Below are 15,707 nucleotides of genomic sequence, written 5' to 3' on the forward strand. Positions count from 1 at the left end.
GTATCTAAAAACATATTAGAGAGGCAACACCAATTCAACTTAGCAAATAATTAATGAACATTGACAATGTGAAATATTTTTTACAGGTTTTACAAAACGCTACAGGTTTTTCCAAACGCTTCTGCTCTAAAGTTGTGTTTAACCTCCTGGGTGAGAGAAACATATGGACAACACACTGTAATATAAAACAAATATAAGAACCAGAAGAAAGACACAAAGTAGTGTAGGGTGAATCAGCGAACTGTGCACATCTGAAAAGAAACATTCATCTTTCTGTACTCTTCACGAAAACCCCTGCCCTAGGCAAGCTCTCTCCATAAACAAGTTAACAACCGATTAACCAGAAATTCTATTAACCAGAATGCCTTGCTCCTCAAACTTGTCCTCTAACAAAGGATTTAGTGTTCTTTCATTCTTTTGTGTATCTATGCTATGTTTGAGTAGTATGAAAGGCATTGTAAGAATTAACTGAAGCTAGACTTTAAAGCTGATCACAGTTATTCAGTAACTTGAGTCCCCCTCCTCTGCTCCCCTCCCCCACCTTGATGGATTTAGACAGGGGCTGCTCTGAGTTCCTTTGTGAGCATGTAAGCTCAGAATGACTGATTGACAAGTGAAGCTTTTTCCTTTTCTGGGGGAAAAGAAATTTCCAGGGTCATGCTCCTTGTATTTGCAAAGAGCTCTAAAAGCTCCAGAGAGTGAAAAGAGTCAAAATTGACTTCTTGCTGATGATCACAAACTTCATGACAGGGAAAAGGGAAAAAAAAGGGGGGGAGAGATTGAGGCTGTGATGCAGAATGTCAGGATAACTACCAAGGAGGATGATTTCAAAACAGGCCTCTAGACAAATAGGAAGTTAGATACTCAACTAGAAACTACAGGCATTAGAGGACAGAAGCTGAAGAACTTCAACCCCAATCAAGATAGTGTCTGCAATAGCAGGCTGTCAGGAAAGAAGGGTGACAGTCTGCTGTGCATGGCTTTCTTTAAGGAAGACACAATGCCCATTAGAGTTTCCATAGACTTGCCATTCCTTCAATATTAAACTGTGTACATCCTGGTGCTTGTTTCAGTTGTTCTAGGGGGAAAAAAGCTATATTTCTACTACCCATATTCATATGCCTATAAAGTATATCTATCTGTATTCTAATACTCATCTTGATTTATTCATAAAGGCCTGCAAAATGGATGCTCTAGTGAGGAAATGTTTTAGCTCTTCATATCTCTTCTGTGGTCATTTTCAAAACTGAATGACTAAAAAGGTGGGAGTTTCAAGCTCCATTCACTTTGGGAGCAAAAAAAAAAAAAGAGTTCTATATACTTCAGGTCCTCATTTCTAACAACAAAGTCTGGGATTTTGAAGAGGGGTATTTTTATCCTCAGGAAATAATCTTCTTTAGAAAAAAAAATCTGAAAAAAAACCTAGTTATACACGTATGTGTTTAAGCCTTTATATTGAGAAGGGAGATTATTAGCATAGTGGTTTGAGAAAATAAGTAGGATTCCTGTTTAATGAAACCCATTTTCATTACTGCTTGATTTCGTGACTAGATAGCCAAGGGCAGTAAGGGAACAGAAGCTGGTGCTGAGTGGGGCTGTTTCCAAGTCTGAGAGAAATGAGCTGATTACTCAGAAGTCACAAGGAAGCAAAGTGAGAAGCTGGTAGAGTTATGTACAAGGACACACGGACCTCAAAAGTTATAAAAAGAGACTCTGAGAGGGCAACATGAAAAAGGGATCTATTCCAACAGGTTTCAACCATATATCTGACATCTGGAATGCTTTTCTGACCCGAGCTGCTGATTCAGTTTCAGGTGCATTGCCCTTTCCATAATTTTACCACTAATAAATATGGTTTGCTCACCAGTGAGAATAAAAACCTTATAGCTTTCATGCTATAAGATTCCTAGGAATTCATTTCACCTTGGAAAATCTCTAGTTTTACAATCAGAGTTCAGAAATTAAAAAAAACTATGTGTTTGTTTAGCTTTGCACAAAGAAAGTACCAAATGCATAGGAATCATGAATTGTTAATGAGAATGTAAATAGGCATGAAAAAGGAAAATTTCATTTATTAGTGCACATTTAGGGAATAGCCTTTATCCAGGGATGCAAAGCATGAGTGTAAGATTTGGTTCATCTCTCAAGAAAAACAGTTCACATCATCACAGCCCTGTCTAACCAACTACAAAATGTAGAGTAAATACACACCTCACATTTGACAGAGGTATATTAAATGATTTAATTCAATCATTGATGTAAAGGGCATTGAGTTATTTGAATAAATAAGATCATACAAGTGGGAAGTATCATAAACTTTCACTTCCATATATCACTTATGATCCCCCAATCGTCAAACAAGATCTGTACAGAAGTGGTTTCCCCATAAATCATTTTCTGAACATAAAGTTAAAAATCCCAAATGCCCTGGAAAACGTAAAGAATATCTACGCTATATAATTAGTTGAGAATGGAGTTGTGCTAGTCACTCCTCCAGAACCAACACTGTCATCCAGCCTCTGAAAACATTCAATCAAGTCATCCTATTGTTTACAAATCAGATGCAAACCAAAATACTGCAAGGTTTGCCTGTTCTTCAAATAGCTACACTTCTGGCATTATTTCACAGCAAACTGGAAATACAGAGATTTGAGAGTTTTCCCTGTTGTTGCTAATCTTCCCACTCCAAATTATGCTGCTGCTTCTGTATTTTCTGCTACATTTGCTCTTTTGCAGGTGGAGCTGACAATTCGAGGTCACACTGGGTCGTCAATGGCAAGCTGACAGTAGGACATGGCTGTTTGAGCTAAGTTACTAATAAGTGAACCCATGGAGTGCTATTTCATTAGCGGATATATCATTAAAAGCATCACCTCCATGACTTACTCATTGTTCTTTGCCCAGCCTGGCCCCTGCCTTGAAGCCTTAAAAATAAAGAAACCATGCTAGCTTAGTGAAGGGCTGGGACCAGCTAATTAGTGGCCCCCTTCCTGCATACTCTCTTTTCTCTATAGCACAGAGAAAGAACACCTCCTTCCCTACCCACAACTATAGTTATGAATAGATTTGTTTCAGGAAAAGGGAAGGAAGAGTATAGGAGACAATGGTCAAACCCAGGAAAATAAAATCAGAAATCTAGGGAGACAGCATCCTGGGTCCAGGGGCTCAGGACTCAGTGACTATAATGTTGGTATTTTTTGGTTTGTGTATACAAGCTGTCATTGAAGTCAAGCAGCCCAGGATATAAGCCCTGTCTTCACCACTTGCTAGCTCTGTGAACTCGGGCAAATTACTTGCTTTCTCTGACCCTCACTTTCCACATTTTTAAAATGGAGATAATAAAAACTTCTATCTCAAATAAGATAATAGATAAAGTACTTAGCACAAATGTAAACATCTATCTCAAATAAGGTAATAAATAAAGTACTTAGCAAAAATGCTTAACTATTGCCATTAACTTCAAAGTTTGGCATCAACATCTCTAAAATGGCTCAAATATTTCTTGCTCTGGATGTCTATTGAGATATTCTAAATTTCTCATCCCCTAATGACATCATTGTCAGCCTGAGTTCAGTTCCCAAACTTTGTGCTCTCTAAAGACTTATTTTTCACAGCACTGATTAATCTGTGTTATCTCCTTTTCAGGACTCTAAAACACTTGAGAACAGACACAGCTGTAAACAAAGTCACAAATTTTTCAATATGGCTTACTAAGAATGTTATCTATGGCCACAGAACTGAGCCAAGACAGTTGGACATGGTGTGACATAGAAAGTAGACCTGAGAAGCTCTTCATTTATTTATTCAACACACACTTGAGAATTTACTATATACCATGCACTGGAGATAGAGTGGTGAGCAAGATATAGATTTGTTATCATTGTAATAAATGCTTATAGTGAGTCATAGTCTTGAGGCGAAGAGAAGTTTTCCTTAGGAAATGATATGTTAGGAAGCTATCGCTGCAATTAATATTCCATAATAAACCAGGCCTAAACTATCCCAAAACATAGTAACTTTCAACAGCGAGCATTTCTTACTTCCTTCACAGGTCTGTGGGCTGTTGGGGCAAGTTCTGCTTTGGACTCTGGGTTGGTTGGACGTGGCTACAGGTTTCAGGTCAGGTGCATGTTCACTCTGTGTATCTCATTCTGGGGCCTAGGGTGAAGGAGCAACAAATACCTAGGATTTGCCCTCCTCATAATGAGCAGAGGAGCCCAAGTAGTCAAATACCATTTCACAAGCACATTTAAGGTCTTTATTCACATCATATGCCCTAATATTTCAATGACTTCAAGCAAGTCATATAACCAAGCCTAACATCAATGAGATGGGAAGTATACCCCACCTACTCTAGTTCTCTGCAAAGTTCCATAGCAAAGGGAGTAAGTGAATAACAGCAAAAAGTAATCTAATATACCTCAAGTGACAATTGCACAAAAAACTTAAAGTGTAAACAAACATTAGCAACGTAGAGGAGAATTCAGCAGGACTAACATGATGGAACTAACTGTTCCATCAATTTAGACGATTGGCAATTATTTCCAGATACTACTTTATATGTCACATCTTTAAGATACTATTAATAGCCAATAACTCTCTAGCCCCCCTGCCATGTTCCTTGAAGGGTTGAATAATACAACCCAATAGTTATATGGAGTGTGTTGGGGAACATTTTTTTCTATTTCTAAGGAGAATTCTTTGAGCCCTAAAGAACTAGATAAGACAATATGAATACACATTACAAATCGTAGCACTTATTCTCCTTAATTGAAATGTATGAGTACTGAGGAACAAGGGTAAAAGTAGGATTTGTCTATCTATCATTGTGACAAATGGGCAGTTTATCGCTTTGCATTTGCTCAGCAGTGCAGGAAAAGGGTGTAAGTTCAGAAAAATCTATTTCCCACAGAGCAATTATCAATTTTAATATTAAATTTTAAAATGATTTTTAATTTATCAACTGGTCCCGTAATTCAGGGTTGGAACTGTCAGATCTCTGCCTTGCATATTAGGCTAATGATGGGTCATATCCAAAGTCCATAGATAATGAACATTTTGTAAATCTGTAATACAGTTCTGTTTTTTTCTCGTTGTAAATTAATTGATCTTTTTGCCATTAGGGAGACCATCAATTGCTCTACTTTTCTCTCTTCCTCTTTCACTTCTTTTTGGTTCAAATTCAAAGCAAATCATTCCAAAATAAAACCCAATTTTAATTAAAGCTACCCTAGTCCCTGGAAAGGTAGCATTCTCTTGCTTCACCCGGACTTTGAAAGTTTCCTGCTTTCACGCAGTGTTGAAAAAGCAATAAAACAGAGGTGAGTGGCTTTAAAATGAGAGGTCAAAAATTGGCCTCCTTTTGCACCCCACTCTCTTGGCAGTGGAACCTTCCTCTTGTCTACAGTTCAGACTCCGAGACAAAATTTGCATTTGGTAAAACCACAGACCTAAGTCAACTTGTACTCACCAAATCTCACACATAAGAAGCTAAGGCTACCACCGAGACCAGAGCCCTCTGCTTGGCTCTGATTTGATATGCGAGATTCAAATGTGTTTGAGGAAGTCCAATATTAAAAGGCATCAGTGTGCATTTTAATTAACAACACTTAATTTTCCCTCAATGCTTATGAATTGTCCTATTCAGTCTAAGATAATACTCTCCTAGTCAGATCAAAGGTGGTACTTTCCTATCCAGGTCTAAGATGTTGTTTGCTATCCAGCTCTAAGAGAACATATACAATAAAATGATTGATACTCTCTTTACTAATCAGGTAAAATTACTGAGAAATCAATATACCATATTAATTCCTAGCCTTCCACATAACTTCTGAAAATCCAAATATGCCATGATTTCCTTTTTTTTCCTACCTTTCAGAATTGATCTAATGTCTCTAAAAGCCTATCACACAGTGAAGAACTGAACAAAGTGATTAGTAGATTACCGTCAAGATTAATGAATACAAAGATAAGCTCCTTGTACCAACTATCTTTGGCAAAAATATTTTTATCATTTTTTATGGAAATAAGAACAACCCTCTATACAATAAATAGTATAATTTTCTCCTCAACTTAATGCAACACGATAGACCTAAAGTTCTGTGAAAGTACACGCAGCATCTGCTTTAGTCAATTCACCATCCCAGGCACCTTGCACAATATCTAGCACATGTGAGGCATCGAAATATTACATGAATGATTAGATAAATACTTAAGTATATAAACATATAAATGGACAGATAAATGACTTTTAAGCCAGCCCAAGACTGTTTGATAACACAAAATAACCCAAATCAGAAGAAAGAAAAGAAAACCTGGTTATTTGTAAAAGGTGTGATATTTTCCCCCAAAAGATAAAAAATCCAAGGTCAGTTTTTGCCCCCAGGGAAAGAAAAGACCAATGCCAGCATCCCAGCAGTCACCGGAAGTTCCCCAGTGTATGCAGACCTGATGGAGGAGAGAAAATTGAGGTGAGAAAATAGATTTCATTTTTGAGTTTTAGAGTAGTTGTTATAAGTAATAGGGAAGAAATAATTATTTTTTAAATGATAAGCACTACCTGGTCAATGTAACAATCTTCTATTTAAATGTAACTTTGTAAAATGTGGCTATTTGATGGGTACATAGTTCTACCATGCTGGATGTCTTAGGTCAGGAAGTACAAAAAACAATCACAATAACCAAAACACGTCAGGCAATAAGTTACTGGTTGTCATTGTCATTTACCTAAGAGCATAGTGGGAGGACATCTCTGCTCTTTTCAGACAATAACAATTCTTTTAAAGAGAGGATTTTTATTCCCTTTGGGCAAAACGAAGACTAAAGATTTTTTTACATCAAGACTTTTGGTGGCATGTTTTAGTTTGAGATTTTTGTTTCCCTTTTTGAGAACTTTCAACCTCTTCAACCACAGAAAAACAAATAACCAAGAGATAACATCACAAACAGGAATCTAGCAGCCCTGGAAATTGGAATCTGGCCTTCTCGTCCTCAGCACAAAATTCAGATCTCCAGATATATTCCAGACCCTGCCTTTTAACTGACTCTTTGTCATCTACCCTTCTCATCCCCACATCTTCCCAGCCCACAATTTCATTGTAGCACCTCGTGCACAGAACTCTTTCAAAAAGGAACAGGGAAAAACACCTCTAGCTGTACTCTTTACAGCTCTGCATTCCTTTGCATCAATTAAAACAAACTGCTACAGGAGACTGGAGCACTCAGCAGTCTCCTTGCTCAGCCAACCTGAAGAAATCAGAGAGGAGTCCCAACAAAAAAAGGCAGAATAGGTTTAGCAGATAAATAGACTGGACGCATTTTCCCTTGAAACCTTCTGGGGCTCATTTACCACAATCTTAGTCTCCAATAAAGAATTGACTTCAGGCTTTGTAAAGCATGATGCCCCTTAAACACCAGACAATTGTGCTTATTTAACATGGAAGAAGAATTGTCTCTAAAAACCCACCTGAGGGTTGCAATAATATTCCACTATCTATGTCAGAGCCAAAGATCTGAAAACAGACCTTCATTCCAGACAGAGGCTCTGATAATTGAGTGTAAAGTGGCTTTGGAAATAGATACTAATCCTTGAGTTTAAAAAGTCCAGTGCAACTAAAGATGGACAGGAGAACCAAGGACTGATGGAAGCCGCCACATGACATTGTTCAAGGGGCCTACACACCCTGATAAATAAGAAGTAGAGGTTTTTGTGCATTTCTTGAAATAACTCAATTGTGTATGTGTGTGTGTGTATATATATTTGAGTGTGTACAGTCCTCATGATGTGAGCATGGAGAGGCCGTGGTTCTCATGCTGGTACCTAGGCAGGTGTCCATAATAGTTTAACTGGTTTAGGCTTTGAGGGTGCCCTGGCCAGACATCCTACTATGTTCACCTATGAAATGAACATTTCAAATTCATATATACACACACATACACAATTATTTCTTTTTCTGTGTGTACATATGTATATATGCATGTCTTGGTCTGTTTTGTGCTACTGTAACAGAATACCTGAGACTGGGGAATTTACAAAAAGCAGAGATTTATTTCTTACAGTTCTGGAGGCTTGGAAGTCCAAGGTTTGGGGGCTCACAACTGGTACAGACCTTCTTGCTGCTTCATCGTATGGTGGAAGGTGGAAAGGCAAGAGGGTAGGGAGGGGGAGGAGGCCAAACATCCTTTTATGAGAAACCCACTCCTGCCATAACTAACCCACTCTCACAAAAATGGCATTAATCCATTCATGAGGGCAGAACCCTCATGACTTAATCACCTCTTAAAAGTCTCACCTCTCAACAGTGTTGCACTGGGGATTAAGTTTTCAATACATGAACTTTAGGGGACACATTCAAACTATAGCAATCCATATTTATCATTTTCCCCATTCTCAACCCCTAAGACTTATCATTCTTAAGGAGTTAGCTTAACAGCAAGATCAAGTTTGTTTCCTTTGTGTTCAACAGCTTCATGTAAGCCCGTAAAAGGACAAATCAGTCAACCATCCAAACTAACAGCATTTCATCAGTCCTACTTTGCCCTTAATAATTCATCCCTCTTATGTTTACTCTAATACCTGTGCAACATAAATATGCATGACATGTGGCTGTGTATGTTCAAGCACTTTCATGGATAGACTAACAGCAGGAGACTTTTGACCTTGGTCTGAATGGGAAAAAGTTACTGCGATGACTAATGACAGAATTGACAGCTTCATACTTTAAAGAGGAAAGAGGAGAAAAACATTCCCGAAAGAGAATTTCTTAACAGCAATTTAGATTTCTGTCTAAGAGGTGCTCTTTGTAAATTACATTTGAAAATAGATACTTTTTCTGTACCAGGTTTAACAAGGATAATACCTATCCTGTTGCCAAAAACCTTACAGGGATATTGTAAGAAATAATAAAAGAATGTCTGTGGAGCCTTTGAGCTACTTGGAATAAATATGCTAACAAATATAAAGGCTTCTTATTAACTCTAGTAAATATTCTGTCAGGAAAAAAAAAGCCACAAATAAAAGTGAGATTTGGGTAAAATCTACTAACTCCTAATCCAATTCTTCTGGATGCTTCAATTACTTTTTTTCTGACTCCCTTAAATTTGTAAAGAGTATATTAGATATTTAGCATCTTACCTTCTCACTGTTTAGAGGTTTTTCAATATCTTGGCAAATAATACCGAGTATTACAAGGACCAATTTAGTTAGGATCCATAGATGGCTGGCAACTCTGCTTCACTGCAATCAAGAAATAGTAAAAGCATTAAGATTGAGACTTTGTTGTTGGCTTTGTTGTGCATCATATGCTTTCAATCTCAAAGGGATTTTTCCAGATGTTTCAGCCTGTTTTCCTGATGCATTCAAACTGTTCTGTCTTCTGAGTTCATTTGCCCTAAAATATACAAACCCAAACATCAGGCTGAATTGAACTCAATCATCCTTCTTTGCCATTTTTAAATGAAGCATTCTGTTCTGTCATCAGGTGAAAGGGAGAACAATACCTTCAAGATCTCATTTGCAGATATAATATTATGAGAATCTTGGCACAGATTTATGTATCAGCTTGTAATGGCACAATTAGGATCTTTAGCTGCACAGGGAAACATAGGCCAAAAGGCATTTTTCATTCTTTGAACAAGCATCAACCAAACTTGGAAGGCTGTTGAAGTTAAAGAAGCAAGACTTCCAGTTGCATTAATAAGTTTTACCTAGTGATGCTTTTCCTGGGCCCAGAAAATGACAGACCCAGGAAATGACATTTGTCCCAGCAGGGATTCCAAAACTGTGCTGCAGGTATTACTTATGTTGGTAGGGTCACCATTAACACACCAGATGTGCAGAGAAAGGGGAGCTTCGTTATTTTCTACAAGTGATAAAATCTTTCTCACAAGCTTCCACCCTGCTGGGTGGCTGATGGGAGTAAAGGGTGGGGAGCAACAGGCTTTAACTTTAAATTTGCCTATTGATGATGTTTCAGCTCCTCTGGGTTACATAGCCTCTTTGGGATAATTTTTTAGTCAACTCACAGTTCACTCCCTAATGGAACTGTTTCTCCTTTCTCCTCTTCTTTCACTAAATGATGTTTGAGTGCAGGGGATAAGTTACAGTCTTCATGATTGGGGATGGAGAGGCCCTTGGTCTCATGCTGGTACCTAGGCAGTTGTCTATGTTAGGCTGACTGGTCTAGGCTTTGAAGGTGCCCTAGCTGGACATCCTACTGTGTTCACCTTTGAAATGAACAGCTGTAATTAATGAAGTTCTTGGAGAACCAGGCCATCTCCCTTGGAGAATGACTCCAAAATTGGGTCTCAATACTCAAACTTGAAGCTGCATTGAAGTCTGTGACCTCCATTTGGTAACCTCCCAAATTTTTTTCTAGATTAGAGCTCAGAACATGTCATTTCCTTACATCTTTCTTTTCTCTTTCTACCATCGCACATGACAGAGGGCACAATCTTTCTATTTTCTCTTCCTTCATAACTAGGGCTTCCCTTTCATTGTCTTAATCAGCTCAGGCTGGCACAAGAAATTACCATACATTGGGTGGCTTAGACAACAAACATTTGTTTCTCATGGTTCTGGAGGCTGTAAAGTCCAAGATCAAAGAGCCAGCATTTCGATTCCTAGTGAGGGCCTCTTCCTGGAGTTTGCAGATGGCTCTCTTCTCATTGTAACTCACATGGCAAAGACAGAGAAATAGAATGGAAGGAGGCTCCTTTCTAGCTCTCCCTAGGAGGGCACTAATCCTTTCATGAGGATTCCACCCTCATGTCCTAATTACCTTCCAAAAACCCCATCTCCAAAGGGCATCACACTGGGGATCAGAGTTTCAATAGAATGAATTTTGGAGGAACACAAACATTCCATCCATAGCAACAATAGTTTGGATTTCTTTGCCCTGGGTGTTGCATCCCCCAGCCCACACCTTCCCAGACGTCATATGATTCATGCTCAGCCTTAGAGGTAAAAAGTTTCAAGAGAATAAGATTTAAGGGGTAATAAAATACGTAGCACAGTATTTTCAAAATTTTATCCCTATTACAAAGCACCAAAATAAAAGCCTTTTTAAAAAGTACAAAGTTAAAAAATCAGCAGTGTGTCTGTGTGTGTGAGAGAGCATGTGTACATGCATGTGCATGGTTTTCTATGTCTATACATGTGTACACATGAAGTAGAGACCTGTAAAGACTCACAAGGAGTACAGTCTTCTCAGTCTATGAGGGCAAGACCCTTTTGAATCATTCCACATTTCACAATGTCAAAACTTACAGAGTACTTCATCACCTGCCATAGGTAATGGTGCCTTGAAAATAGACATGAACTGTCAGACCAGAACACACTCCCCTCTAGGAACCTGAGTATTTCCTCCAGGAGGTATCAGGGAAATGTCAAATCATTGGAGACTGCCTTTCCAACCCCAGCTGGCCTCAGCCCAGGATAAAATACATGTTTCCTGAGAACACTTCATAATTTAGACTCCACAACAGAGGTCCCTTCTGGATTTTCCACACAGAGTATTTATTCTGCTCTCCCCAGACTTCCTCATGGAGAACAGACATACTACCTCTACTACAGTCTATGGATTAAGCTGATGTTTAGACAATCTTTTGTTTTCCCTCTGGAATAAAGTAAGTCTGTGTTTCTCTCCCAAATGGTATCCCAGAAGTTATTCTTAAGTAGACTCAATCTTAGGAAGAAACTGAGTAAGTAAAGAGGAAGTCGAGTAAACGAAATTTCCTACAGAAAATTCCATCTGCTAAATAATTATTTGTCATAAACTCTGGAGGAGTAAATTGACCTAACATGGTACTCATCACACCTCACTTATAACCAGTCTCTTTTTATAGCCAAGGATACAGTCTGATGGCAACTTTTAGTTACTCACATATTATTTATGAGTTTTATCCATATAAAATTTGCTGGTAATCTGCTCTCCCCACAGTTTTTTTTTTTATTGCTGACAATTGAAAGAGGAGTGTAATTGAATTCACTTTATAATACATTGCTTTTTTTGTCAAGGAATATATAATTATAAACAAGTTGACTTATTCAAAACTTGGTTTGAATATCCTAGGTTGAAATTATCCTTCTAACTAGTATTGTGCAAAAAGCCTACATTTGGAAAGTTAGGCAGATCTGGATTCAAATTTGGCCTCACTACAAGCTATTTTAGAGGAAGTTGCCTTCTGTCTAATTTGGTCATCTATAAAATGAAATAATATTCTTACAGTAATTAGGAGGACTAAATGACATCAAGCCTGAAATACCTAAAACCATTCTTGGTAAATTCAGAATACTTTTTTTTTCCTCTTCCACCCTGGAAACCAAGTCTAACAGTACATTATTAGCAGTTTTACATGTACAAAATGTAGGGAGGAGAGAAACCAAGGTCAGATAAATCTGCATACAGTTTCCACTGCATGATCATGTTTCTGCTGAGCCTTGGACTCTGTCGGAGGCACCTAAGTATTAAACATAATAAATACCATAGCATAATAATCAACCTAACGGGGATGCTGAGTGGTCAAGAAAGAACAGTATCCTCCAGGTTTGGACCCAGAGGGGAAAGCTCCCACAACACGGGTCCTCTGCGCGGCCAGCCTTGAGACATCACTGACAGACATGTCCCTTTGCTCAATATGCCTTGGGAATGGGCCAGATACAGAGCACTGAGCTAAATAAGAGAGACGTGGCAATGAACAAGACAGGCAATGAACAAGACGTGGCAATGAGCAAGGGCTCATTGTCTGTTTGGGGAACCAGAAGGTAAACCCGCAATTCAAATTTGGTATAGTAACGGCTAGCTGAGAAGGAAGTACTGAGTGCCATGATGAAGAATTTCTCAGAGGAAGTAGTATCCAAGCTGTGACCTGAAGAATATGAATGATCCTAAGGCTACCAATGCCGATACATACCCAAGGAAATCAGCTACTTTGTTTTCCATATAACTTGACTCAAAATTTCTGCTCTTGTCATAGTCTCTCTCTCTCTTATTTTTATGCTGAGTATAATCTTATCTTTAGTCCACAACCAGTTTGTTTACTTTCCCAATGTTTCTCAGATACATATAAAATTAGTTACTAACAGCTATTTTGTTGAATTCCCTAGAAGTCACAGGATCCTGAATCAGTTGCACATTCATGTAAGTGTAGGCTGTAGGAATTGCTCTTATAGTGAAGTAATGTCATGTTAACAAAGCATGTACTAGTTTTTTTTTTTAGTGTGTTCAAAGTTAATATTTGATAATACCCAGTTCAATGGATTCAGATGACAGGTTTCAAAATGCAATTTTAAAATGGCTAAAAATATATACACCTTTATCTCGTAAAGCTCATATAATTTGTACTTGTGTAAATAAACTAGGAACATGTTTGTTTACCTGGAATCTTTTTTGATGTCACTTACAGATACCTAACTCAAATTAGCTTAAACTGAATCAAAGAGAATTTATCAAATTATCAGATATGGGTGGATCTAGGTCTTCAAACATTACATTGGTGCTCCTTCTCTCTCTCTCCCTTCCTCCCTCCCTTCCTTCATTTATCTCTTGGTTCTGCTTTCTCTTTGCGCATTATGGCAAAAATAATCCCCACAACTCAACTCAAAACATATGTTAGATTTAGTTATGACAGAGAGAAGTCAGGGCTTCTTTACTAACAAATTCTGCAGAACTCCTGAAGATGCCTCTAATGGGCTAAATTTGAGTCATGTGACCATTTATGAACAATCACAAGAGCAGAGAGGGGGTGCCCTAGTTGGCCAGATTGAGTCACATGCCTGCCATCATGGCAGGGGAGACACCTGCTTATAGCCAACATCTTCAACAGGTTGGAAAGGACAATTGCTGAAAGAAAAAGATATTAGGAAGACAACATAACAGCTATTCATTATAACATAAAATGATCAACTGTGATACCTTTTTTTAGCTAGGCCAGGAGAGCATTTCAGTGTGTGAGGCCTTATTGCTAGTTCACCTTGCAATAGTGTCACCTCTGCTAAAGAATGAGTGAGAATTATCTACAGACCCTGCATGTATTTACAATCATATTCCAGCTCAAAGGGAATGAGCCTCTCAAAAGTTAAACTTAAGCCCCAGGCTCAGACTGAAATAAGAGTTTTTAACGGGAAAATCAGAGAAATTTCCCCTGGGATGAAATATCTGTGAAACACATATGAACATCCAAAAGAGGTAAAGTCAAGTTAGGTCTTCATACTTCACACTTAATACTTCAAATATGGGAACTTCTTAACTGGTCACAAAAACATCCAGATAACAAGGCCTAGAAGGGGACATTTCATTTTAAGGGAATTGTGGGGCAATCAAAAAGTTCCAAACTGTGCAATAGAGATTTACAAAATATAAATGCAGTGAAAGTTAGGGAAGTATGGATTATTTAGTGGACAGAAAAAGAGAAAATGATTTCTTAATTTTCTCTTTGATTCCCCCAGAACCATGTAACAGCTTAATTGCAAAGAGATGCTTTAAGCAACCATCAAAAAACATTAAACTGCTCTGTGATAGGAATTGTGCTAGGGGCTGAAGACAGGACAATAAATGAGGCATGGTCTTGGCCTCAAGGAAGTCACAGTTTTATGGGGAAAAAAATCCCCTTCAGCAGACAATTAAAATATAATATTCTACAATAAATGTCTATAGAAGATTCTATTAGAACATATAATAATTTAAGAAGTCACACCTGCAACTCTGCCAATAGATATACTCCTCTATATTGCCTGAAATTCCACCATTAGAAGTTGGTCTATCTGAGTTGGAAGATATCTTTTTAAAATTTCAAATAGCTCTGATGTGAATACCATCTTAATCAGGATTGTTAGTTTTTCTTACTTGGTGTGAATTGATCAATCTGATCGTTTCCCCTCTGAAGCACCTCCAATCAGTAAACTCAGGAAATGGTGGTGTCTTGGGGCTTGAGGAGCAAGGGTAATAGAAGAAGAGAACATTGGATCTGCGGGATTGGGGAACCCCCAAAGCCAGACTTCCTCTAAGAGACCAATTAAGACTCAGGTCAGCCCAGCATAGCTGCTTCCTCCTTCAATGCACTGATGCACTGTGTATCAGGACATTGAACAACACTCAATCCTATAGAATGGACAAATAAGTCACTGATTTGATTACTTGGCTGACGATGCACTCATCAGGAAGAACTGAATAAACTCTCCAAATGCACATCTTCTGTCTCCCCTGCCAAGGTGACCAGGCATTTGGGTCTTCAAGATCTGGAGGGAAGTTGCTAGGTAGAAACAAACCCAGGCAGACAATCACTAATCAAGCCTATGCACACCCACTGAGACAATTTAGCTGAATTTATCTGGGTTTGTATAGAAAGGCCAGGATCTATACTGGGAAGAACTTGAATCCGTAGGGCCTGTGAACGGGATGAGATGTGCAGATTCTGAGAGAGTTGCAGGAATCTTAAATCACATCTGAGAAGACTTTATAGGCCTGGGCAAGGACAACAAGAGTGAGGCACCGCGGACTGGGGATGAGGTCCTCCTCATATCTTATGGATCTGTGTAAACCCCAGGATTTCCATCTAACAACATGAAGAAAGGGAAGGGAGTCATGTACAGTGAGTGTAGAAGACATCCCCCCAATCTTCATGGATACGCCTACATTGATAGAGCAATGTAGCAGTACTTGTACCCTGGATAGTGTGGAAGAGTCCATTGCCTATTACAGAACTAGCTA

At 38.5% G+C, this 15,707-nt stretch overlaps 1 long non-coding RNA gene across 1 annotated transcript in view, besides 1 other annotated feature; it reads right to left on the bottom strand.

Annotated features, from left to right (window-relative positions):
* The window catches only part of LINC01725 (long intergenic non-protein coding RNA 1725), a 285,210-nt gene that overhangs the window by 165,278 nt on the left and 104,225 nt on the right, over positions 1 to 15,707 (bottom strand). Inside the window, exon 2 of the long non-coding RNA NR_119375.1 lies at positions 9,134 to 9,235. This is a non-coding gene — a long non-coding RNA (long intergenic non-protein coding RNA 1725). The remainder of the gene's footprint in view (positions 1 to 9,133; positions 9,236 to 15,707) is intronic.
* Positions 5,344 to 5,513: a silencer, noted in NCBI's record as "silent region_1008". NCBI's record gives its function as "represses an Ori minimal core promoter by ATAC-STARR-seq in GM12878 lymphoblastoid cells {active_cell/tissue: GM12878}" and the evidence as "EXISTENCE:reporter gene assay evidence [ECO:0000049][PMID:35858748]".

This window comes from Homo sapiens, chromosome 1, assembly GCF_000001405.40.
Source record: "Homo sapiens chromosome 1, GRCh38.p14 Primary Assembly".
Lineage (NCBI taxonomy): Eukaryota > Metazoa > Chordata > Mammalia > Primates > Hominidae > Homo > Homo sapiens.